The sequence below is a fragment of the Homo sapiens genome, chromosome 3 (genome assembly GCF_000001405.40).
Source record: "Homo sapiens chromosome 3, GRCh38.p14 Primary Assembly".
In the NCBI taxonomy this organism is placed as follows: Eukaryota; Metazoa; Chordata; class Mammalia; order Primates; family Hominidae; genus Homo; species Homo sapiens.
The window spans coordinates 54,568,123-54,594,653 of NC_000003.12; the positions used below are offsets into that span (position 1 = coordinate 54,568,123).

At 40.3% G+C, this 26,531-nt stretch overlaps 1 protein-coding gene across 1 annotated transcript in view; it reads left to right on the forward strand.

Annotated features, from left to right (window-relative positions):
* CACNA2D3 (calcium voltage-gated channel auxiliary subunit alpha2delta 3) overlaps window positions 1-26,531 on the forward strand; it is a 952,006-nt gene that overhangs the window by 445,571 nt on the left and 479,904 nt on the right. Inside the window, exons 7-9 of the mRNA NM_018398.3 lie at window positions 1,673-1,733; window positions 1,832-1,982; window positions 13,681-13,755. Coding sequence (NP_060868.2) covers window positions 1,673-1,733; window positions 1,832-1,982; window positions 13,681-13,755 — 287 coding nt within the window. The remainder of the gene's footprint in view (window positions 1-1,672; window positions 1,734-1,831; window positions 1,983-13,680; window positions 13,756-26,531) is intronic.

Genomic DNA, 26,531 nt, shown 5'->3' on the forward strand with positions numbered 1-26,531 from the left:
TACTGTTTCTTTTCACAAGCTAAAAGAGAACAGGAAGTCATAGGTTGTCTTAAATGAAATTAATTTTCCTCCAATGTTAGTTTGTAATGCCTGTGGGAGAGAACCCGTGGGATATAGCAGTGTTGCACAATGATTCAAATTCACTCAAATTTGAGCGTTTGAATCTGCAGCAGAGATTTGGACATTATTTTCAGTTTTACATAGGGATTTACGTACATTCTGGGGACAGGGGTGGCCGTGGTCTTAAGATCACTCACCACAGTTCAATTCAAGAAACATCCACTGAACACCTCCCGTGGGTCAACACATTTAAAAAACAAAAAATAAAAAATTATCTTTATATCACACTCAAACCAGTTATTTGTGGAATTATAAATTGGAGCATTGCCTAGCCTCACCAGGGATATAACTTCACTGTTTCTCAAGACTGTGCCATCCTAATGGTACCTGGCTTTATGCAAAGCAATGTGTCAGATATTTTTAAATTAATTGCATTCTTGTCCCTTAGTGTGCAACATCATATTAGTTGTATTTTATCTTTATTACCTAATGACCTCCAATTTGGCAGTAGCTTCTTATACTAACATTTTCTGATTTCTTATGGAGAGTGTTTTTAAATTAGACACATGTGCAGTGGGAAATGTAGGTACAAGAAGGACAGAACCCAATATCTCTTTGCATTACAGACTACTGTCTCAAGGTTATCTGTGTGATAATTTGGGGATGTTATCTTCAGCAGATGCCTGTTATTAGCCCATTGTGGTCCTGTAGAAAGCTGGCCATTGTTAATCGGAAAAAAAGAATCTCAATGCCATCAGCTGAGTCAGGATTCTCTCCTGCGAAAACGATATTTCTGTTTTTATTTTCTTATCTCCAAAGTCTCTGTTGCAAATCCTCCATCCCTGAGCAGAACTGATGGTTGAAAACAGTGATTTTCTGTCTTATTTTTAAGCAGCCAATGCCTTTCTTTTCAAATGATATTTTATTCTTAAAAACTAAGTTGGATATATCCTGACTAGGCTGCAAACCACAAGACTAAGGATGTTGGATCTGATTTTACACATGGGGAAAACTCCCCAGGCTTCAGGAGCTGAAATTCAAACTTTATTATGCAGCATAATGAGAGCCATTTTATTTCATTTCAATGTGGAAAGCCAGGCCAAAATTTCTGATTTTAAAAACAGGAGTGAGGAGGGAACAGACCCGTGTATATCCTTAGTTGGAAACATTGTATCTATGCTTTCAACCCCCCTCCTGTAGACATTACATCACCTGGTCCAGGGACGGGCCAGACTCTGCCCAGAGATCTATGGATGATCCCCCCAGGTGCAACAACTTGCTGGACAGTAAGAAATGACTTCGGCTACCTTTATCCCTAGCCAAGGGAAGGAGCTGGAGTCACATACTCTCTCAATGGACAGCACAGTCCTAAAAACATCTCCACTCTCTGCAGGCCTTTGGAGAAGCTGAGCTAGCGCTGTGTTTGCTATAGGGTTATGGCCCAACAGCTCCTTCCTGGATTTGGCGATGGAGCATGTGATGAGCTCTGGGGTTGGTCTTTGCATGTGATTTTTCACCCTGTCCATTCAATCAGCAAAGTAGAGCAGCCTTGAAATGCTATGAATAAATATTTGAAGTTTCTGGGTTTCTCATAACCCCATTTTTCTTCTAGGGATTAAATGGGAACCAGATGAGAATGGAGTCATTGCCTTCGACTGCAGGAACCGAAAATGGTAGGCAGTGGTCAGACCTCTTTGTTATTTCTCAAAGAGATATCTTGAAGAGAAGTGAAGTCAGGATTAATTTTGACTTAATTTTTCCCTTGACCTAGGTACATCCAGGCAGCAACTTCTCCGAAAGACGTGGTCATTTTAGTTGACGTCAGTGGCAGCATGAAAGGACTCCGTCTGACTATCGCGAAGCAAACAGTCTCATCCATTTTGGATACACTTGGGGATGATGACTTCTTCAACATAATTGCTGTGAGTGCACCGTTTTGTGCCTTCTTTGCACTTGGGTTCATTTGATCTTTTGGTAGTGACTGGTTAACATTGCTCTCGCTGTTAGATCCAGAGCATCTAGATGCCAGAACATGAGGCCTGGTTAGTCTCATGAAAGTTGACAGAGTCATGGACAGTGGAAGGCAGTGGAAGGGCTTTTGGAAATGCAGTTGAACACACGTTGCCTGTCTTAACCTACCACACAGCCACACCGCCACACCATCTGAGAGAATGACACACCAGATGTGGTATTCCTGGGGAGCTGACATTTTCAGATTCTTGGAAAACAGACTTAGCAAGATTTTCACCAAACCACTAGAATTTCTCACATGGAAATTAACTTCCAGCTAGGTTAGCCTGATGATATTGACGATGATAATAATTGATAATAATAATAATAATGGCAATGAAGCAACTAAAATATGGAGAGCACTTTATGGCTCACAGAACACTTTATTTCAGCTTCTGGAAAAAAGGTGGCATTTATTAAATGCCTGCTTTTAATAAATGCCTTAATCTTCATATTTTTATTATCTTGGTTTTTCACAGCAAGTCTAGGAGGTAGGGGGTGGTTTGGGCATATTCTCAAATGAAGGTGCTGAGATTGGAAGAGTGTCAGTAACTTGTCCAGGTCACAAGGCTGGCAAATGGGAGATCAGGGAACCAAGCCTGAGACCGGGCAGTCATGTAGCCTGGAAATGACCACTTATTCAGGTGTCCATCTTGTCAATGAAAAGAGGCAAACTCTGCAAAATATTTGAAGAGATTTATTCTGAGCCAAATATGAGTGACCATGGCCTGTGACACAGCCCTCAGGAGGTCCTAAGAACATGCGCCCAAGGTAGTTGGGCACCTGTTCAGCTTGGTTCACTGGTGCAGCTTGTTTTTCTACATTTTAGGGAGACATGAGACTTCAGTCAAATACATTTAAGAAATACATTGGTTTGGTCCGGAAAGGCAGGACAGCTCGAAGCAGGGGCTTCCAGCTTATAGGTAGATTTTAAAATTTTCTGGTTGACAATTGGTTGAGTTTTTCTAAAGAGCTGGGGGTGAATAAAAAGGAATGTCTGGGTTAAGATAAAGGATGGTGGAGGCCCGAGTTCTTATTTGTAGAGGAAGCCTTCACGTCCTAGGCTTCAGAGAGAATAGGTTGTAAAATATTTCTTATCAGACTTAAAGTCTGTGTTGATGTTCATGCCGGAGAGGTGTAAGGAGGCATGTTCGACCCCCATTTCCCATCACGGCCTGAAACAGTCTCTCAGATTAAATTTTAAAAGAGCCTTTGTCTCCTGTGTAGAGGAGGAAGTCCATTCAGATGGTTGGGGGGGGTCTTAGAATTTTATTTTTGGTTTACAATCTCCAGTTCTTTTTCTTCTTCCCACTGATTATTTGGTATGATTTTCATCATGCCCCTTATGTTCCTCCCACTCTCTTACCAAAGGCTCGTCAGAGTGAGCCTGATTTCTTTGAGTCCTTGAGCACTTAACCAAGTGTGTGTGTGTGTGTGTGTGTGTGTGTGTGTGTGTGTGTGTGTGTGGTGGACACTTATTCTTTTGCATGAAAATAACACACATCACATCTATTTGGGAGGTGGAGTAGTTGCTATGGACAATGGAGGCAGCATGGTGATGGGCGCAGAGCCTGGGTTTTGGAGTTGGGCTGTTTTGAATCCCATTCACCACATATGCTGTGTGTCTTGGGCTAATTACTTTAGTCTGGGCATCAGCTACCTCAGCTGTGAAGTAGGTGTGCTCACCTTGCCCACAGGGTTGCTGCTGGGATCATCTGAGTTGATGCACCAGAGTCAAGCTGGTGCACAGGGCTCCTTAGCCAGTGGTGGGATACAAAAGAAGAGGGTGCTCCGAGAATGCTGTTGCTGTGGTCTGCATGGCTCCCCTAAACCCGCAAGGAGAGTATGTTGTCATGGATGGAGCCTTATGACTGGGCTGCCTTCTGCATAGGCGTGACACCCACTTGTGTTCTCCAGGCAGAGGGCCTGGGCCTCTAAGTGACATGGTGGCCGAGGGGATTGCCTGAATTAGTATCCTGCCTATACAGGCCTCTTCTGATCAGACTCTCAGAACAAAAGTTTCTGATTTTAAGAAATCCTAAAGACGAAAGGGAAAAGAAAGAGAATACTAAATTCCTTGGGAGCAGGGGTTAGTCTTGTTCATTCATGGATGTATCCCCAGCACCTAGGCAGTGCTTGGCAAATAGCAGGAGTTTAAATATTTGTTGAATGAATAATAACCACAGCTGCCTTCCACTCACTGTGTGCAAGTCAGTTGCTAAGTGTCCTGTGTGGATTATCTCACTGAATCCTCACCCCAGCTCTGTGCTATGTGGCATGGAGACAGAGGCATGAAGCCGCAGAAGTGACTTTTTGAGTTACACAGCCAGAAAAGGTGGCACGGTGAAGGCTCAGACATTGTCCGGCTTCACCTTGCACCCTTTCCTGAGCAGAAGTGAAGAGGATATAGTTGATCCACTCAGCCATCTTATCATGAAATTATATGGCCTTGAGGCATAGTTCTTTGGAAGAAGACTTTCAGATAGTTAGAACTTTGGGTTTGCTGCCAAGTTACTCTAGTTGCCAGCCTAGTGGTGAGAATGCAAGTGTGGCTTGATCCCCACACATCCTGAAGCATTTATAGATAAGAAGCAGCTAATATGAGACTATCTTTCTTATTAATCTTTAATTACTCATTACAGAAGTATCAGAAATTCACGTAATAAGAAGAGCTAACTAATTACATCCTGCATTCTTTATCAGTCAGGATTTATTGTTCTGTTAACAAAACCAATCGATTGAAATAATCTATGTAAGTTCATTAAGATATACAAACAGTGTCAACTCAATAAAGAAGAGAGGGTGACTAAGATAATTAAAAGTAGGCATGCCAGTTATTATAGAAGAGTTAAGAAAAAAAATTTTTTTACCCCAAATTGTCCCTTTATATAAAGAAACCCATTAAAGATCCCATTAACCCTCACTGTGCATCTGTTTGTTCATTTTCAACATAAATAATCAGCTTCAACACTATTTACATAATTATTTCAACAACTAGAAAGACACTCTGAACTTCTTTATTTGAAGCCTTTATAGTAAAATCATGAACTTTGTTCCTCTAATGGATAAGAGAATGGATCAGATATGTTAGTGAATTTATATTAGAAGGCCAAGGTCATAAAAGAACCATTAATTAATAGTAATGTTTATAGGTTCATTGCTTTTTAATGTAGGCAATGTATGTAATAATTTTAAGCAATTCAGTAATGTTCTCATTTCTCTTTCATTTGGCACATATTCTAAATGTTTCTGTGTATATGAGCACACAGTCTTTTCGCAAAAATGGATTCATATTTTACAGAATATTCAGCAACTCTTATTTCAATCAAATGTATTTGAATAACAGAGCATTCCATCACATTTGTTACTCAGAAGTGCTGCAGTGAGTGCAGTGCGTACAGTGCACTGAATGGAATGCATATATTTTTGCAAGGTTGGGTGTGCTTCTATTGAATAAAATCTAGAAGTGAAATTTATGCACCAAAGGGTATACACACAGGCACCTACCAGAATGTCTACCAAACAGGGCATAATGTTTACACAGTTACCAACAGTTTGAGGCTTCTAAATAATAGGAGATTCCTAGCTGGCTAATTTTCATTTGCATTCCCTTGAATTGTCTCTCCCAATCCTAAGTGTGTTCTGCGAATTTTGCCTCGTTGAATTCTTATTCTTTTTTCCTCCATCACCTCCTTCTGTTTCTGCCCTGACATAATTGCTCTAGTAATATGGTGTAGGTTTTCCCTCAGTCTGTTTAAAATGGTCACTTGTCTCCTGTGTAGAGGGCGACCCAACTGCAGGTTCTTAAAGTGCAGGGGAATGGGATATTTGAAACGCCATCCAGAACGCCCTGCAAATCTGTGTGAGTGCATTGTTATCATCGGCTGGATTCCATTTACGAAAGAGGACATTATCATTTCACCCTCCATTACACTGTCAGCCTTCCTTTGCTTGCCGGGTAGATGTTTGTGGAGATAGCTCACTGTTTTAGAGGAAAAGTAAAGAATACAATATTTTCAGTGCCGGAAGCCCTCGTGTACTGTAGGTTTTTGTTTGTGCAAATCTAATTCATCATTGCCTCTTGATTTTCAGTGCCATAATGGAGGTCGGAGGAAAGAGATTTAAATAGTGGGAAAGACTTCCCTTGGCCACTTAAGTTCGTCTTTCGGTTTTGCAGGTTTTATTAAGTTCATTGTGAACTGCATGTTTAATATTATACTGAAAAGTTTCTGATCTTGATCTATCCAGAGTATAAACATAAAGAGATAATGTTAAAAATTGTTTTAGCTCTCATGGGCAAGGTATTACAAGATCTATCTAAAATGGACAAACTAACTGATTGAATTATGAAAGAATAGTTGAAATATGAGAGTAATTTTGTGCAGTTGAAGTTAAAATTTTAAGGTCAAACCACTGGTGCATGAAGAGAGATGTCTCTGACAAGAGAAAAGGCATATTTTTCTGATTCACTTTGAAGTCTAACTTCAAGCCATGCATTAAATTAACAATATTATCATAAAAATGAGGGTGCTAATTCTGTCCGATGTTGAAATTTGAAAAATGACTTTACAGAAGCTTAAGCCATGCATTAAATGAACACAGCATTAACCGGGCCAATATTGTTACATCAATTTAAATGCCTCCTGCAGCCCATATTTGTGCAGACTTGAATTAAGAAGAGCATCATTTGTTAGTTCAAGCAAGAACTTTCTGATGCCCTGGTTTTAATTTGCAGATTTTCTTTAGAACGGTTTCTCCGATGCTTTGCCGCTGTGGATTTGCTTTTTAAAGTAATCGATTCCGTATTAAAAGTATGAGGATAGTATTTTCTTTCAGTGCTCATTTGTTCTGTACTACTAATTGTGTCCAGTTGTGTTTCAAATTACATAAGATGCTTTTGTAATGCAAAAGATCCCTAGGATGGCTTGTGTTGGTCAAAATAATGTGTGTTCATCTGCTTTATTACATAATCCCTACATGTTTTCATTCAAAGGTTATTTAATCAAAAGTGCACCAGTAAAACTGTAAAAATATTTAATGGAGTCCCAGCAATTCTGCATCAGTTTCTTGTATTACATGAGCATGGCAGCATTTAATTCTATGGGTTTTTTTGGCAGAACTTTGGATTCTTTAAAACATAGCCACTTACTTCCTTTACTTTTTGTTTATTTACCTGTTTTTTGAAGGGGGTAGAGATTCTTATCTTATTTTTTGTTTCTGTGCCAATTTTTTTTCTGGCTTTGTTCCTAGTCCTTTCCATCAGTGATCTTCTCTGCAATTTTGCCTTTTTGTTTCTTTGTTCTATCGATTCATTCAACAAATAGTACTGAGTGCTCTGCATTAAGCATTGGGGCTAACTTAAGACAAGCTGTCTGCTCTCAGAGACTTAGGTTTTCTGTGTGTGAGCCTTGTTTGGGGGCTACCAGGAAGCAGGTCTCACAACACAGTGTGGCCAGTGCAGTCTTGGAGAGGGAGTAGTTGGGGGGCTGGGTGTCTAGAGCTGGGTCATGTATCGCCTGGGGCTCTGTGGTGGCTTATCAGAAGAAGTCATGACTAAGTGGACACTTGAAGATAAGTAGGCTAGCCAGGCATAGGCAAACGTGATGGGACAAGGCAGGGAGAGAAGGAGGAAGGAGTCAACAACTGAGGAGGAAAGTGCCATTTGCAGGTGTAAGATCCCCCTACCCCAGCCCCTAAGAAGGAGCTCTTGGTGTGTCTGGATCACATAGGGGGGTGGGTGAATGTGGAGGCAAGTGGATCCGGTGAGTGATGGTGAAATGAATGAGACTGGATGGAGAGAGGCAAGCCAGATCGAACCAGTCTGGTCAGCCAGGTGGAGGAATTGGGACAACCCATGGAGGCAATGGAGACCCACAGAAATGAGTCTCAGCTTCAGGGCAGGGTGTTGAGATGCGCCCCGAAGCCGGTCCCTGCTTAGAGAGGTCTTTCCTCATCCTCTTCTCTAGGTGACTGATAACCTTCTGTTAGGCCTGAAAGCGGAATTGCTTTCATCTCTCAAGTTCAGCTTCTGACATTAGGTGGGTTCCTCACTGTTATCCAGAGCCCAAAGTCAGTTGTCTTTGGCTCTCTGGCTTTTGGACTGTGATTCACCTGAGCCTGTGTATGCTGGGATTCTACACTAATGCAGAAGCTCCTGTGAACCTTGGTGGGAGGGTCTAGCCCATTTGCATTGCTTTTAGATCCTTCCCCAAAACGTTCTGGCCCTTCATTTAATCAAAGTTGTCTTTCCTATCTTAGATCATCATTAAGATTCTCATTGATCACTTTGCTGTGTCTGTAAAAGGGGAGATCTAGGGAATGCTCACAGACATTGGGCAAAAGGAAAGAAAAGGCATATGATGATGTGTCCCTTGCCTTCAGGGCGGAGAGTTTGGAGGTTGGTTGAATGGAGACAGAGGGACAGTTACCTCAGCAAGAGTTGTGCGATGTAGTCTAATACCTGAGGAAGATTGTGGGTTTGTCTCAAGCTTGTTGTTATTTTTGGAGGGACTGTTGCAGCATCACAAATAAGCACTATTTGTTATAAAAAGGAAAGCCAGGGCCAGGTGCAGTGGCTCATGCCTATAATCCTAGTACTTGGGAGGCTGAGGCAGGAGGATTGCTCGAGCCCAGGAGTTCGAGACCAGCCTGGGCAACATAGGGAGACCTTGTTGCTACAAATAATAATAAAAAAATTAGCTGGACGTGGTGGCATGTGCCTGTGGTCCGAACTATTTGGGAAGCTGAGTCAGAAGGACTGCTTGACCCTGGGAGGTGGAGGCTGCAGTGAGCTGTGATCACACCACTGCACTCCAGCCTGGGTGATACGTGAGTGGGACCCGCGTTTCAAAAACAAACAAACAAAAACAAACAAAAGGAAAAAAGGCCTTATGTTCAGATGGAACAAGAGTAAACATACTCTTTTACTAAGAAAAGTAAAAAACGGTTCATTGTCACTCTACAATGATGGTCATAAGCAAACTTAGCCAGTGTTTTATGTCCCCAGCACACAGTAGGTGCTTAGGGTAATATTCAGTGAGCAAATAAAGAAGTGAAGAGTTCTGTGGCAGATGCCTTCCTGCGTGGGGATTTCCCAGTAAGCTGGCTGCACCGTCTTGGCTCCCTATCTGCCAAAGACCCCGGTCCCTGGGAGGATTCAGAGGGTGGCTTAGAGTGGGACAGTGTGTGGCCAGACATCATGGGCTTGTCTTGGGTACATAGATAGTGACATGTGCCTGATGACATGGCATCTTATCCCCAACAAATGCAGATCCATGATCTCCAGAGAAGGCCAAGGACACATGCCCCTGTTCCAAAGAGTGAGTCACTTTGCCGTCACTGACATCACCCTCTTCCTTCATAGCAAGTTCCAGCTCTGGGTGCAGGGTGTCATCTGTTGGCCTTTCCCTTTATGTAGCACACATCACACTCACATATATATTTTCTTTCTTTTTTGTGCATTTGTGCCTGTGCACCTAGATGCCTTTCTCATTCTTACGTGCCAGGTTCTATGTTGACTTATTTCATCCTCACAGTGAGCTCATGAAAGAGGTGCAGTTAGAATACCTGTTTCCCCAACACAAAAGCTGAGGCCAAGCTCACCCAGCTAGTGTGTGGCAGAGTCAGGATTTGAACCCGGGCCTGCCTGCCTCAGTTGCTTTAGCTCTACTGTTCTACCCTTGTGAGAATCAGAAAAGGAAAGCCAACCAGGAAGGAAGCAGAGAGAAGAAAGCCAACAGCATCCGAGTCCCCGTATGCTATGTGGCAGCTTCTAAGCTCTTTAAAGGGTGAAAGCTGTTTGTCCATTTCCTTACCGTGTAGTTGGTGGGCTGGACTGGACCCATTTCCAGGGCAGCCTGGGCCCACTCCTGTCTTCCTAAGAGACTCTTCCCATTTCCCAGAAATTTGCAAGAAGGACTAACCACTTGGGCAGAAAGGGGAAAGTTTAAGTACGTCTTTAGGGTTCAATCCTGGTAGTGCAGGGAAGTAAAAGCAAATTATAGAAGGAAATTGCATCTAGCTGGTGATGATGTACATTGTATCCTTTTCTTCCTTAGACTGTTGATATCAGATTATTTCACTAGGGATCAAGGAGAGCCATTTATAAGGCTGTTGTGTCTTAGGGCAAGAGGTGACCAAATCTTGAGTTGTAAATATATATGGCTCTTCTACAACATCGTTTCACAAAATAGAAATCTAGAGAACATACACAAAAATGCAGAAGCTGAAAGATTTCCAAATAAAGGGCTGCGAGGAGTCTGGAAGCAGTTCCGTGCACAGGGCATCCTTGGGGTCCCCCTCGGGAGGAGCCGTTGGGTAGTGAGAGGAGCGTGCATAGCTAGCAGGCCTTAGTACAGCTGCCTGGTGTGCACAGTTCCCTTACACACATGGCTGAGCCCGGCTCCCTCTGGTGATACAGACCAGATTGCTCAGCATAGCTTTATCCTGATGCAGTCAAGGGAAATTAGTCAACTGCAAGCTTGGATGATGCCACTAACAAGCTGGCTGGGATTCTGAAGAGCGGATTCTTCCACTGAGGCCATAGCACACACAGTGCTGGCAAGCATGGTTTTGATTACTGCACATGTACCTCCCTGATGAGGGCAAGAACTCCTTGGTCTTCTTGACTTTTAAATCCCCTCTGGAGCCCCCACAAGTATAGACTTTTATATTAGCAAGGCAGTTTCAGGTCTGTTGCCTCACTCAATTTCTGCAGGGCCCCCAGAGGGAGACTGAAGGTGAATTAGTGTATTCTTATGCATAAGATTCTGGGATCAGAGAGGCTTAGCAACTTCTCCAAGGCCACACAGTGAGTACACGGTAGAGGCAGGACTTGGACCCAAGTGACCTGACTCCCAGCTCAAACTGTACAACCCCAGGAATCAATTTTGAGAGTGTGTATTAGGTAGAATGTCAATGAAGTGATTCAATTTACCTGGAAAATGGAAGAATGAGAGGAAGTAAAACCACGGTGGGAACCTCAGTTAAGAAAGTTTTGGGCTCTGGTTTATAGAACAGGTGAGGAAAGGTTGGTTCAGCATACAGGCATCTGATAATGTCATGTAAGAAGCCTGGAGGAAGGTGGCTGCAGCTTTTGCACAGTAGCTCAACATTATCTTCAGGGGCCCACACTGGCTCCGTCTTCCTGCTGTGTCTTCCTTGGGCTTTGCATTCCGTTCTTTCTCTTGTAACCTCATAGTTGCAAAATGGCTGCAGCAACTCCACAATAGCATCCCAAGCAGGAAGAAAAGAGTGAGTATAGATGAGTTTTCCCTTAATGGCAGGAAAACGTTTCATTGAAACTGCCCATCAAACTTTCCCTTATGTCATGGTCATTTGACTGCCCCTAGCTGCAGGGCAGCCTATGAAAGGTCGTGTCCAACAACGGGGAACTGGATGGCTGTGACTGGCTAAGACCCTTTGTGCTTCAGGCCTTAGAAATCGGTGTATTGTCACCCTAAACCAAATGAGTCAGCAAGGGAAGTGAAGGAGAGGGGACTGGCTGTTTTCTCAGCAACTTCCAGGGTCAGTCCAACAGAGATTGAGAGCTTTGGAGGAGTTTTCCTTCATATTGAACTCTGCAGTTGCTTCTTGGATCCTGAGCTGATGTTCTGTTTGTTGACTAAAAGTCATACTCCCATTTGTCAGTGGCTAATGTCATAAATATATTTTTTCTCCATGCCTTGTTAGAAGATATTTAAGCCCTCAAATCATTGGGATATAATTTTTCAAATACTTTTTATATGACTAAAAGCAAAGATGAACGAGAGGGCACAAGCCTGACTGATGGGGAGATCTGGAGGTTTGGGGGCCAGAGAGGATAAGTTGGGGGCATTGAGGACCTGTTGTGAGTGGCAGTGAGGTCAGACTGCCTGAATTTGAATCTGGACTCCACCACCCCTCACTTACTCTCTGGTGTCTTTGGGCAAGTCGATCATTTTTGCCGTGCCTCAGTTTCCCCATCTGTAAAGGGTGAGTGATTGGACGTGCTTGCCAAACGGTGCTAAGATAACGTGCAGATGAAGTTTCCCTGCTGCCTAGGTGCAGTAAGTGCTCAATAACAGTTAATTGCCAAGGTCAGTTTGATCACCACTTCTGCTTGCTTAGTGAGGCTCTCTCCATGGGAAACCTGATGCATCCCAGTTGCTCTTGAGCAGCTTTAGGTCTAGCCCCTCTTCGACCTGTCCCTGCGGTGTATCCAGAGGGATTTCCCAAACTCGTATCTTTATTCCACTCACTCCCTTGCTCACAGCCCTGCCTGGTCCTCGCTGACTTTAGTTTTAAAGCACAAACTCCCGAGGCCCTCTTTGCTCAAGAGTTAGCTGGGTCTGGGAGAGATGGTTCTGTTCTCTTCCCTCAGGAGCTCCGGGCCTCTTTGGCTGCTAAAGTAGATATACCATAACGCTGTCATCAATCAAATGGTCCTCAGGCACCTACTGTGGGTCCAGCCCTGTGCTTGCTGCAGAAAATAACACCGAAGGACCAGGCATGGGCCCTAATGGTGTGGTCCCACTTTGTGGTGGGGAATCCGGCCAACAGATAATTAGAATTTACAGGGATTATATGGAAGAGGGACCTAACCCAGTGCCTAGCCTGCACCAGAGCCTGCTTCCCAGAGGAGGTGGGAGTAATCTGACCCAGGAGGTGAACAGGAGTCAGCCAGAGAGAAGAGGTGCCAGAGCGAGAGCTCAAAGCAGGGGTCCCAGCATTGGAGGGACTGAAGGAAAAGAGGAGACATGTCAGAGGACAGCAGGGGAATAATGGCTGGCCAGGATAAGTTTTAGGGGAAGGCTGATGAGTAAAGATGCTAGAGTGTCAGCAGGACCAAGGGTCCAGAGCCTCACAAAGTCCCGGGAACATTCATCTGCACAGCAATGGGAGCTGTGAATAGGATTGACAAGAGGCAACACGATCAGATGTGTAAGGACCGGCCTCCCTGCAGGGCAGAGAAGCAAGCTTGCTGAGAGAAATGATGAGAATACTCACATTTTTGCTACCTGGTTGTGAGCTTCGGGCAAATAAAAAGTGTGGGGGGGTCCTATTCTGGATATTCTGGGATTGAAGTGATGGGAGTGCCGGTGTTGGCAATGTATGGGAAATTGTGCATGGACAGTTTCCTGATCAGCACCCACATACCCTTGCAGAGTGACCAGGGAACATCAAGGCTTATTCTGTCCCCACTTGTGTAAGCCACACATGTGTCCCTTGGTTCCATGAAGCCAAAGACAGTAGCTGGAGCTGTATCCACGCAACTCTGGGGTGCTCTTCAGCTCCCACCAGGACCATGGGCTGTCAGCCATGCCCAGGGAACTGCCAGCGTTTGGAGGCAACCCCAAAGAATGATCAGTTAACAGGGTGCACCCTGAACCCTGCCAGCTACCAGCACATGCTCTAGAAGTTTCTCCTTCAAACAAGAAAAGAATGAAGTCTGTCTGCAGCACATAATCATAGTTGTCTAGAGGGACACCCATGAGAGAGTTCACCTTATGTGAATAAATGGAGCCTGTGATTGTGCCGCTTTTTTGTTTGTGTGCGTACCTCCTTAAATTATTAAGAAGTACCCTTCAATTCCTTAATTAAGTGTTCCTTCTTGACTTTTTTCCTTTGCAGTATAATGAGGAGCTTCACTATGTGGAACCTTGCCTGAATGGAACTTTGGTGCAAGCCGACAGGACAAACAAAGAGGTAGGGGCAGCTCGGGGGAGCATTCCAGTCATGGTACACCCCTGTCTCCCTCATAGTGATTGTTTCACAATAAATCTGTCTTATCAAATGCACTGCCCTTTCATTGAGGCCCTTGGAGCCCCCATGTGTAGAATATTTATTAAGAGCACAAAGAAAATCATGGCACTAAAATAATTACATTGAATTCAAAGGCTTGCTAGTTCTGAAACAATTGCATTCACTTATTGTCCTTGTGCTCTAATAAACACAATGCTATGGTGTGCTTGATGCTTACGTTGACACTCTTGAAAGAATATGGCTCTTGCTAAGATTTCAAAGAAAATTGAACCCACTTGTTATTTCCCTTGTCCTTCTCACGATTGATTAAATGGTCACTGGGGTAACTGTTGGGGTAACTTGTCTGCTATTAAAGGTAAGCTTTTCAAGGATAGGAATGCTGTCTGCTCACTACTGTATCCTCAATGTGCCAAGCATTGCCTGTTCCATTAATATTGTGGAACAAAAGGACGATACGTTAAAGGAGAATCTTACACAATGGGATAGAGGTTTCCCCTCCAGTTTTGGAGTATCCTAGGAAAATTTCTAAAGTAGACTTCTGTAAAATAAATCCTGTTTCCCTTTAGCCACCTTTAAATTTGTCAGTACAGCTACCGCAACCACCACTATACCACCCCTGCAGGGCCAGTTGACAGTTTCACTTGAAGGTATAGCTGTGGCTGCAGCCATGTCACAGCTTCTGGGACTCACAGCTGCCATTGCCCATGTTGATTTTCTGTACCTGACACACAGAGCTGCTCTTCCCCTGGAGAGCAGACCTGCATGAGGTAGCTGGGGGCAATGGCCAAGGCAGGCTTTTGTGAGGCACATTCTATATGCTGGAGAGAATCCCCTGGCTCGTATTGTGTTGGTGCTATCTTAGATGCAGGTAGTAGAAGCACTTAATTTAGGTATGTTTGAGGAAGTGAGCAACAGAGGATTGGGAGAAATTCATTCCAGTTGGAACACAAAGTATAAAGTGAAAAATACACTAGAGTTAATATCTGGGCTTCAGTTTGAGGGGAAAGAAGCAGCATGATAAGCTTCATATTTAGGAGGGAGGAACCAAGTACACTGAAGTTCAAAGAACAGGTGTAACCTGAGAATGCTCATTCATGGTAATTGTTTAGGCTAAGGTAAGAAAAGTGACTTAAGTCTATAGCCGCATTTTTCTAGAGACTTTCCCGTTGTTTGGCCATTGTGTAAGTGAAGATCTCATCCCTATTCCAATATTGTAATATTGTAATATCCTCCAGAGCCTCAAATAGGTGTTCCATCCTGGTGCTTGCAACGTTAAACAGAACAAGCACTTAAATGATCAAAGCCTTCCTTCAGATTGCTTCCCAGAGGAACAAAGGACAGTATGATCTTTGGAAATAGGAAGTTTTATGAATGAAAAAAAGTCATTAGAGGAAATGGGCTAAGAAATTATTCTAAATTGCCTTTGAGTTTATGGATATTGAAGACTGGAATACTTTTGAATATAAAAACTAATCTGGACTTCTTATTCTGCCAATATGGAGTAACCATATTCCAATGAGGTCCTCACCTTTATAACTGAGAAGCCCTAGACATAACGCAACAAACAAGTATAGGTTGAGTATTCCTTATCTAAAATGGTTGGGACTAGAAGTGTTTCTGATTTTTCAGATTTTGGAATATTTGCATTATACTTACGGGTTGAGCATCCCTAATCTGAAAATCTGAAATCCGCAATGCTCCAATGAGCATTTCCTTTGGGTATGACTGTTGAGCATTATATCGGTTCTCAAAAAGTTTCAGATTTTGGAGAATTTCATATTTTGGATCTTGGATTTTTGGATTAGTATGCCTAATCTGTATAAGAAGACTTGAAAAGGAGAAAATGAAATGTCTAGGGGCTTTGGGTCTTAAAGACAAAAGGGAAGTTCCCTGATTTTCCTCTTTGACTCCCATATATCCTGAATAGAGCATTCCAGAATCTCACCTGGACCAACAATAGGCACAGATTAAAAAAAAAAAAAGAAAGTCCCAGAAAATCTTGTTCCTTCTAGCCAAAGGACCACAGAAAACCTTTGTGACAACACTTTTTCTACTCCAGCTGAATATCAACGGAACAACCAATCCTACATGGTTTCAGTGGGGCCAAATAAGAAGTTGATCTTTTGCCCCATGCATACCCCCTTGGCCCTTCTCCTACCGAGAATGACTGCTAAGAGAAAAGATGAAATCGGATCCAGAGTCTCATAATATAAAATCCATAATGCCCAGAATGCAATTAAAATGCCACGAACTGGGAAAATCACAACATGAATGAGAAAAAACAATCAACAGAAGCCAGTATTTACATGAATTGGATGTTGGAATTACAAAATTGTTTTAACAAGCAATTAGGAATTCTCTTGCAACAAATGAAACAGTAGAAAATCTCCCAAAGGAATAGAAGTTATAAAATAGAGCCAAATGGAAATTATTGAACTGAAAAATACAACCACTAAATAAAAGCTCACTGATGAGCTCAATAGAGTGAAGATGACAGCAGATAAAATCAGTGAATTTCAGGACAGATCAATAGCAATTACCCAATTTGAACAACAGCGAGAAAATAGACTGGACCAAAATGAACAGTCTCAGGGACTTGAGGGACAATAACAAAAAAATATAACATTAATTACATCAAAGTCATAGGAGAGGAGAGAGAGAATGGGACTGAAGAGGTATTTAAAGATGTATTGTCTGGAAACTCCCCCAAACTGGGTAAAAGGTGTAAGCATACATATTCAAAAGGTTATGCAAACTCCAAATAGAATAAACCTATGTAAATCCATGCCAAGACACATCATAAATATAATTAGACAAGAAAAAAATCTAGAAACAGCCAGAGAGAAAGGACACATTGCTTATATGGAACAGCAATTTGAATTACATAGATTTCTCATATGAAATCATGAAGACCAGAAGTAAGTAGCATAGCATTTTTCAAATACTGAAAGAAAAGAACTGCCAACCCAGGATTCTATATCCAGTGAAAATATCCATCAGGAATGAAGGAGAAATAAAGGCATTCTCAATGGAAGGAAAACTGTAAAACTGTTGCCTCTAAACCTACCCTTAAATAATGTCTAAAGGGAATTCTCTAAACAGAAAGGAAATAAGGAAAGAAAGCTTGGAAATTCAGAAAGGAGAGAAGAACATTGGAATGAGTAAGAAGATTACAATTAGAGTATCCTAATTCTCAGACAATTCTTAAATTATGTTTGATAGTTGAAGCAAAACTGGCCTAACACCATCTGATGTGATACCCAATGTTTATGGATGGAATACTTAAGACAATTATATTTTAAAAGTGTGAAGGGTAAAGGGACCTAAATAGAAGGTTTCTATACTTCAGTGGAAATGGTAAATACTGATATGAGTAGACAGTAATAAATTACATATTTGTACCATAATACCTACAGCAACCACTAAGAAAACAATACAGAGAGTTATTCTTAAAAAGTAACTCATAGGAAGGTAAGAAATGAGAAACAGAGGAATTAGAAAGAGGATGAATAGGAAAAAAATAAACTGGCAGACTCAAGTTTTAATATATCATTAATCACCTTATGTATTAGTCTGCTCTCTGCTAATAAAGACATACCTGAGACTGGGTAATTTATAAAGAAAAAGAGGTTTAATGGACCCAAGTTCCACGTAGCTGGGGAGGCCTCACAATCATGGCAGAAGGCAAGGAAAGAGCAAAGGCACATCTTACATGGCAGCAGGCAAGAGAGCATGTGCAGAGGAACTGCCCTTTATAAAATCATCAGATCTCATGAAATTTGCTCAGTATCATGAGAACAGCATAGGAAAAACCCACCTTCATGATTCAGTTACCTCCCACTGGGTCCCTCCAATGACACATGGGGATTATGGGAGCTCAAATTCAAGATGAGATTTGGGTGGGACACAGCCAAAATATATCACCTGAAATTTAAGTGTTCTTAAGACCATCAGTGTCAAGGCAGAGATTGTTTGAGTGGATTAAAAAAACACAAACAAACATGATCCAACCGTATGACCATATGCTGACTATAAGAAACTCATTTGAGGCCTGGCACAGTGGTTCATGCCTGTAATCCTAGCACTTTGGGAGGCCGAGGCAGGCAGATCATGGGGTCAGGAAATCGAGACCATCCTGGCTAACATGTTGAAATCCCGTCTCTACTAAAAGTACAAAAAATTAGCTGGGCGTGGTGGCACATGCCTGTAGTCCCAGCTACTTGGGAGGCTGAGGCAGGAGAATCACTTGAACCCGGGAGGTGGAGGTTGCAGTGAGCCGAGATTGCACCACTGCACTCCAGCCTGGGCAATAGAGCGAGATCCATCTCAAAAAAAAAAAAAAAAAAGAAACTCATTTGAAATACAGTGACAGATATGTTGAAAGTAAAAAAATCAGAAAAATATGTACCATGCTAACATTAATTTTAAAGTAAGAGTGATTCTATTAATACCATATAAAGTCTTCAGGGCAAAGAAAATTACTAGAGACAAAGAAAGGGATATTTCATAATGATAAAAGGATCACTTGCATAGAAAAACATTACAATCCTAAGTGTGTTTGGATCAAAATACACAGTTTCAAAATACACAAAGCAGAAACTGTTAGAGCTGAGGATAGAAATAGACAGATTTACAATTATAGTTGGGACTTGTACATTCCACAGTCACCAGTTGATAGGCTACTGTACAAAAAGTCAGCAAGGATATAGAAGAGCTGAACAACACCATCAACCAATGAGATTGAAATGACATTTATAGAGCACTCTATCTAAATAACAGCAGAATACACGTTCTTCTCAAGCACCTATGGAACATTAAGCAAGATAAAACATCCTGGGTCATAGTAGAAACCTTAAAATTAAATCTTTAAAATTGTAGAATATAATTTTTGATGAAAATGGAATAGAACAGGAAATTCATAACAGAAAGACAGCAGAAAAATCCCCAGACACTTAGAAATTAAACAGTATACTATTAAAAAAATACTTGGGTCAAAGAGGAAGTCTTAAAAGAAATTAAAAAAAATACAAATCTGAATGAAAACAAAGATTACATATCACAAGAGGTGGAACAAAGCTATAGCAATGTTAGGGGAGAAATTTATAGCACTATATACTTACATATTTAAGTTCTCTAATAATTGAAGTTTCCACCTCAAGAAATTAGAAAAAATAGTGCAAAATAAAACTAAAGCAAGCAGAAGGGAGAAAATAATAAAGAGCCAAACTCAACTAAATTGAAATAGGAAAACAGTAGAGAAAAATCAATGACACCAAAAGCTGGTTCTTTAAATCAGTAAAACTGATAAACCTCTACCAAGACTGATAAAAATGAAGAGAGGGGCAGGCGCGGTGGCTCAAGCATGTAATCCCAGCACTTTGGGAGGCCGAGGCAGATGGATCACCTGAGGTCAGGAGTTGGAGACCATCCTGGCCAACATTGTGAAACCCTGTCTCTACTAAAAATGCAGAAATTAACTGGGTGTGGTGGCATGTGCCTATAGTCCCAGCTACTCGGTAGGTTGAGGCAGGAGAATCACTTGAACCCGGGAGGCAGAGATTGCAGTAAGCTGAGATGGTGCCACTGCACTCCAGCCTGGCGACAGAGCAAGACTCTGTCTCAAAAAAACAAGTTAAAAAAATTTAAAAAAATAAAAAGAGAGAAGACAAATCAGCAATATCAGGAATGAAACAAGAGACGCCAGTACTGAACCTGCAGTCATTAAAAGGATAATAAAATACTATTGTAAACAACTTTACACTCATGAATTAACGACTTAGAAAAAAATTGATCAAATTCTCAAAGCCGCAAACTTCCAAAATTCAACCAAGATGAAATAGATAGCTAGACTAATCCTATAACTATTAAAGGAATTGAGTTGATAATTTAAAAGCACCCTCTCCCTGCCAAAAAAACCATTTTCAGGTCTGGAGAATGCTTTCACTGGAGAATTCTACCAAACATTTAAAGAAGAATTAATATCAATTTTACACAATCTCTTCCAGAAAAATAGAAGAGTAAGGAAATCACCCCAGCTCATTTTATAAGGCTAGCGTTTCCCTGACAAACCAAAGACAGTGCAGAAAAAGAACAATATTTCTCATGAACTTACATGCAAGAATCCTCAACAAAATTTCAGCACATCAAACCCAATGATGTATATAAAAAATAATATGCTACCTGCAAGCAGGATTATTGAGATATGCAAAGCCAATGTAACATCCATGTCAAATCAATCAATGTAATCTACTATATCAACAAGCTGAAAATGACAACTCATATGATCATATTAATTGACTCAGAAAAGGCATTTGATAAAAAACACCCTTTATAATTTTAAAAATACAAAACTTCTCAGTGCATTGGGAATGGGAAGTAACTTCTCCAAATTGATAGAGACCATCTACAGAAACCTACAGGTAACATCAAACTTAACAGGGAAAGTTTGAAAGCTTTTCCTCTTAAGATCAGGAACAGGTAAGGATGTCCACACTGACATTTGACAAAGTGTTAAGTTTTAGTCAGGCCAGGAAAAGAAGTAAAAGGCATACGGGTTACAAAGGAAGAAGTAAAACTTCCTATTTTCAGATAACATGATTGTGTACATAGAAAATCTCAAAGAATCTACACACAAAAAAATTTCCTAGAACTAATAAGAGAGCTCAGTAAGGTCACATATACAAGATCAACACAAAAACCATCCTATTTCTCTACCTTAATAAAAACAATGAACCTATGGTAACTGAAATTTAAAACATAATACAATTTATAATTGTTCCAAAGAAATAAGCCTAACAAAACATGTGTATATAGGCTGTATTTGCTGAAAATTACAAAATGCTGATGAAGGAAATCAAAGAAGACCTAAATAATTGGAGAGACTTACCATGTTCATGGATGAGAAGTCTCCACAGGGTAAAGGTGTTATTTTTTTTCAAACTGATATGTAGGTTTAATATTTATATATTTAATAGTTATATATTTAATATTAATATGTAGGTTTAATTTAATATGTATGTATAATAATACCAAACTGTGTTTAGGTTTGATACAATTCCTATAGAAATATCTGCAAGATTTGTGTAGAGTATTCTAGAGTTTACCTAGGAAGTCACAGTCCCTAGAATAGTAAGATGATCTTAAAGAAGAATGAAGTAGAAGGAATCAATCTACCCAATGTTAAGGCCTATTATATAGTAACAGTACACAAGAGAATGTGGCATTAGAAGAGAAATAGACATATAGATTAATGGAATAGAATAGAGAACACAAGACATATACCCACATACATACACCCAACTGATTTTAGACAAAGGTGCAGAAACAATTCGATGGAGGAAGGATATCTTTTCAACAAATGGCTCTGGAGCAATTGATCATTCACAGACAAAAACAAACAAAAAACAACAAATTAACCTTGACTCAAACCTCACAACTGAAACAACATTTAACTCAAACGGATCAAAGACTTAAAACTATACAACCATGACATTTTCTGAAAAAAAAAATAGATGTGGGGAGAAAATCTTCAAGATGTAGGGCTAGGCAAAGCGTTCTTAGGCTTTACATCAAAAATATAATTTGTAAAAGGAAAATTTGTTAAAATGGATCTCATTAAAATGAAAAAAAAAGAACCAAACCTTTTGCTATGTGAAAGACTCTGTTAACAGGATGAAAAGATAAGCTACAGATTGAGAGAAGATATTTGCAAAGCAGATGTCCACATGTCCACAAATATATAGAGAATATATAAGTAATTCTTAAAACTCAACAATAAACACAATTGAATTTAAAAATGGGCAAAAGCCATGAATAGACATTTTACTGAAGAGGATATACAGATGGCAAGAAAGTACATGAAAAGATACTCAGTGTTCTTAGCCATGAAGGGAATGAAAATTAAAACCACAGTTAGATATCACTATACCTATCAGAGTAACTAGAATAAAAAATAAAAAGAATAAAAACAGCAAATATTGGGGAGGATGTGGAGAAACAGGATCACTCACACATTGCTGTGGGAATGTAAAATAGCACAGGCACTCTGGAAGACAGTTTGACAGTTTCTTCTAAAACTAAATATGTAACTTCCATATTACTCAGCAATTGCATCCTTGGCATTAATCTCAGAGAAATTAAAATTATGTTCACACAAAAGCCCCATACAGAAATGTTCATAGCATCTTTATTTGTAATAGCCTAGAACTAGAAACAACCCAGATATCCTTCAATGACTGAATGGTTAAACAAACTGTTCTATGTCGCCACTATGGAATATTACTTAGTAATTAAAAAAACAACAGCAATCTATTGATAGATACATCCAAGAATGTAAATGAATCCTTGAATCTTTAGGGAGTCATGCTGAGTGAAAAATAAAAAAGCCAATATCAAAAGAACACATACTTCATGATTCCATTCACATTACTTTCTTGAAATGACAAGTTTAATAGAAAGAGAGAACAGATTAGTGGTTGCCAGGGGTTAGGCATGGGAGTGGGGAGAGGTCATTGTGATTATAAAAGGGTAACATGAGGGCTCCTTGTGGTGGTGGAACTGTTCTGTGTCTTGATCATATCAATGTCAGTATCCCTTGTGATGTTATGCTGTAGTTTGTAACATGTCATTGAAGAATACCAGGTAAAGAATGTGTGGCATTTCTCTTATTATTATTATTATTATTATTTTATTTGTAAGACACGGGGTCTTGCTGTGTTGCCCAGGTTGGACTTGAGCTCCTGGGCTCAAGTGATCCTGCTGTCTCCACCTCCCAAAATGCTGGGATTACAGGCGTGAGCCACCATGCTTGGCCTCTTTATTATTTCACACAGTTACATGTGGATCTATGATTACCTCAAAATAAAAAGTGTAATTAAAAAATAATCTGCAGTAGGTGAGAAATTCTTGAAGAGAAGCTTTATCAAATTAGTGTGAACGGTTGTATAATGCATGTTAGGTTGCTTTAGTTATATAAAAAAGTACTGATTGTGGTTCACTTTTTAATGACAGGAAGTTTTGATGTTCTTACCGTATGTGTCTTTTTATTTGGAGAAAAGCTCAGACGACAAAGCATTTTTTTTATTAGTATTTGGGGATATGTTTAAATAATGCTGAGCTTCATTGCTTGAAACCTTAAACCAGTTTCCATTTTTACCATAAATTCAGTGTTGGGCCATGTTCATTTAGGACTTACTTAATGGCATGTGGCAGACAGTAGCAAATTCATGAAAAGCAAAATAGAAATTTACATCAGCTTCCCTAGCACCAAATTCCTAGGGTGGAAAAGTCAGCACCCAAAACCTTACACTGGATGTTAGGAGTCATCCCCTCTCCCCAGCTATCTCCTCTAGGTGTCTTCCGTGAACTCTGATTGGTTCTGCTAAATCAGGTGCCCATTCTGGAGCCATGATTGAATCTCAAGGGGTGGGGCAGCCTAGTCAGCAGCCTGGTTCAGGTGCCTATACCTGTGGCTGAGAGGCAGGCCTTTGCTGGGCAGACTTGCCTGGTTTTCCGAGGGAAAATGCTCTGGGCAACCATGCCAGTGCCTATGAGATAGATGTTCCATAGAAGCATGAATGAATGAATGAATTTGAGTAGATAAGCCACCTGGGAGAGGACTGTGGTTGAAAAAAGTTTTTTTTTTTTTTTTTTTTCACATCACTAGAACATCCACAAAACACTGAAAACAAAAGCATCAAACTCATTACATTTTAATATAATCAGGGCCATCAGAATGAGATTGTGGGTGAAATTATCTGAGTCCAGGGTTGGCAGTTCTCACTGTCTCATTCTGTCTAAACACCCTGAATGGAGCTTTGAGTCCATTTTCTCACATCCTTTGTGTGATGGGGATGGAGAATTATGACCTTCTGTATAAACCTGTGTAGAACTCGCGGTGTGATCATCGATGCTAGTCTTCTGTCCTGAGTTAAAGGAGTCTGACTAGAATGTGCCAGATCCTTTGGGGTGTATCATTCTTTAATCAAAATATTCATGTGCATGCTGACAAGTTCTTATGACAGCCAAATACCCAAGATTCTTTCCTGCCCGTACCTTTCATCTTAGGACTGTTTTCCTGGTGGCCACTGCAGTGTTAACTTCAAGTTAATGAAAGGGCGTGAAGGGGCTTCTAGAAGGTGACAGCTGGGATTATGATGTTGTGCACTGACAGCCAATTCTGGTTTCACAATACTCGGGTGACCCCCTGAGAAGTCAGAAGTAGATCATTTAAATTATAACAGCCTTTGATAAACTCCATTTAAAAATGTCGAAGAGGTAGTGAGAGGATCTCCATGAGTCTTAAAACAGAGGAAAGGTTAGGGTGAAAGTGCTGGCCTTGATCAAACTGAGTTGTCCTGGAACATAGATTTTCGAGATTTTGCTTGAAATAGCCCACAGCACACCATCCCTGAAGAGGGGGTCTTAAAATTCTGTTAGGTTTTTGGTTTTGTCTTTTAAAGCTATTGTTTACTGTCTGGAGAGAGTTTTGCTTTGCTGTTTTATGTTCCAAATAACTGACTTCTTTTTTCCTTTAAGGAAAAAGAAACCATGACAAATTGGGTGAGCCTGGAGTTCAAATATAGAATTTAAATGAGAAAACTCTCATCCTAATCTACTACAGACCTTCTGAACCATTCATCAGACCTTAAAATGAACCTCCTGTGGTCTGTCTTGGGGGAGTGTAGGGGAAGAGAGTGAGGAAGGAGAATGATATGATTTTTCTCTGGTTTTATAATGAAGATGTCCTGAAATCCACTGAATTTCATGGCTCTGTTTAAGATTCATTTGCAAATATTTGTTGCAAAATCAGCCCACCTTAGAAACCCTTGTAACTTTCATCTTCTTTGGCAGTTTTGATCTTTTCTTGTGGGATCAGAAGTCACTAAAACTTCATAAACTAACAAAAGTACACACCAGAGTTGCTGGATTTTCCCCAGTACTTTTCTTTCAGCCTGAGATTTGTCAATGGAGGCACTCTGGATTCTAAAACTTCCTACCTTCTCTGGCCTTATAGGTATAGAATGTACAGTTTGTGAGTGATACTGGGGTGAGGGGTATGTTATGAATCATAAGCAGAAAGTAGCCCTTCTGCACATGGGCAAATGTTGCCTGCTGAAACACCTAGGGAGACGAAGTTTGCAGAGAGAACAAATACCCACTTTTATTCAATTCAAAACTAATAAAAGATAGTAAGAGTTGCACTGCTTTTTAAATGTCATGAGTACATTAAAAATAACTTACATAGAGAAAAATTGAGAACAACCTACATGTAAATAAATTCTAGATCCAGTATAATTTAACGTAATTTGGCTCTAAATTACAAGAATAAAGTAGGTTTATATATATTACCACAAAAGAGTGATAATCATATATGGTTAGATAAAGAAACACATGTAAATTTCAGAATAGTATGGTTCATGGCTTCTATTTTGTTTGCTTAAAGACAGAAAGAAAGAAGGAGAGGGGAGGACAGTGGAGGGGAGGGGAGGAGAGACGAGGAAAGAAGAGAGGGAAGAATAAAGGAACAGAGGGAGGGAAGGAAGGTGAAGGATTCAGGAGGTACACCTGATATATTTCTCCACTGTTAGCGTGTCTTTACAATGAACCCCAAATCCTTTCACAATCATAAAGAAAATATTTTAAATAAGTAGTTTCCTAATATTGAAATTAATAAAAATATTTAAAAGAAACTATTTTTGTGGGTCTGTAAGTGCCAGTTGTTTTCCTGTGATTGTGAGGATATAACTTCTGCTGATTTCCAGGTATGTTTCTCCCTTTGCACATGAGCTGATTTGTGCTTATCCCTTGATAAGCACAGGCAATAGATACAGCTACATTTTAAATCCATATCACCTTACTGATTTAAATAAATTATAATGCAGCTATTTCACAGTGATTCAAATGATGCATAATGCAAAATAGTTCCTAATTCCTGCATAGCAGCTTTGTAGAGTTAAGGCTACACAAGTGATCTAGGGACTGTTTCTATGCGAGATGTAGTACAGAAACTATGCTCAATTCTTTTTTTATATTATACTATATATTTTTATCAATTTGATGAAATGCATTTGTTTGAAAATAACCAATATACTACTGGGGAACTAACACGATTAGCCAGTATATGCCAATAAATTGTTTGGGTTAAAACCATTAATATGATACAAACATTTTTCATTAATCTCCACTTCATTATAGTGTGCTAATTGTGAATTCTTTGTATGAGCCTAGATAAGATGTTAGCAAAATTTTTTTGTTAAGGGCCTGATAGTAAATATTCTAGGCTTCGTGGGCCATACAATTTCTGCTGTAACTACTCAGCTTTACAATTGTAGCATGAAAGCAGCCATGGGTAATACGTAAATGAGTGGGCATGGTTATGTTCCAATAAAACTTTATTTAAAAAAATAGGTGGCAGGCAAAATATGGCCCTTGAGTCTTAGTTTTCCAATCCCTGGTCTAGACTGTGGACAAGACTAGAAGGAGAAGTCTGTTATTAAATAAATAACATAACATTAGCATCAGGTTAAAATCTTTCTGAAAGGTGAACATGGGAATTGGTAGTTGAGAGCATGACTAGATTGGGTAATATTCCTTTACTCTTCTCATTTCAACTCTTTTGGCAAATGAGGATTTGGGGTGGATCTTTCCTTAGACTGTCTACCTTCAATAAACTTGCCAGTTAACCAATTTCTGATTTCTCTGTTCATCAGTGTTTAACT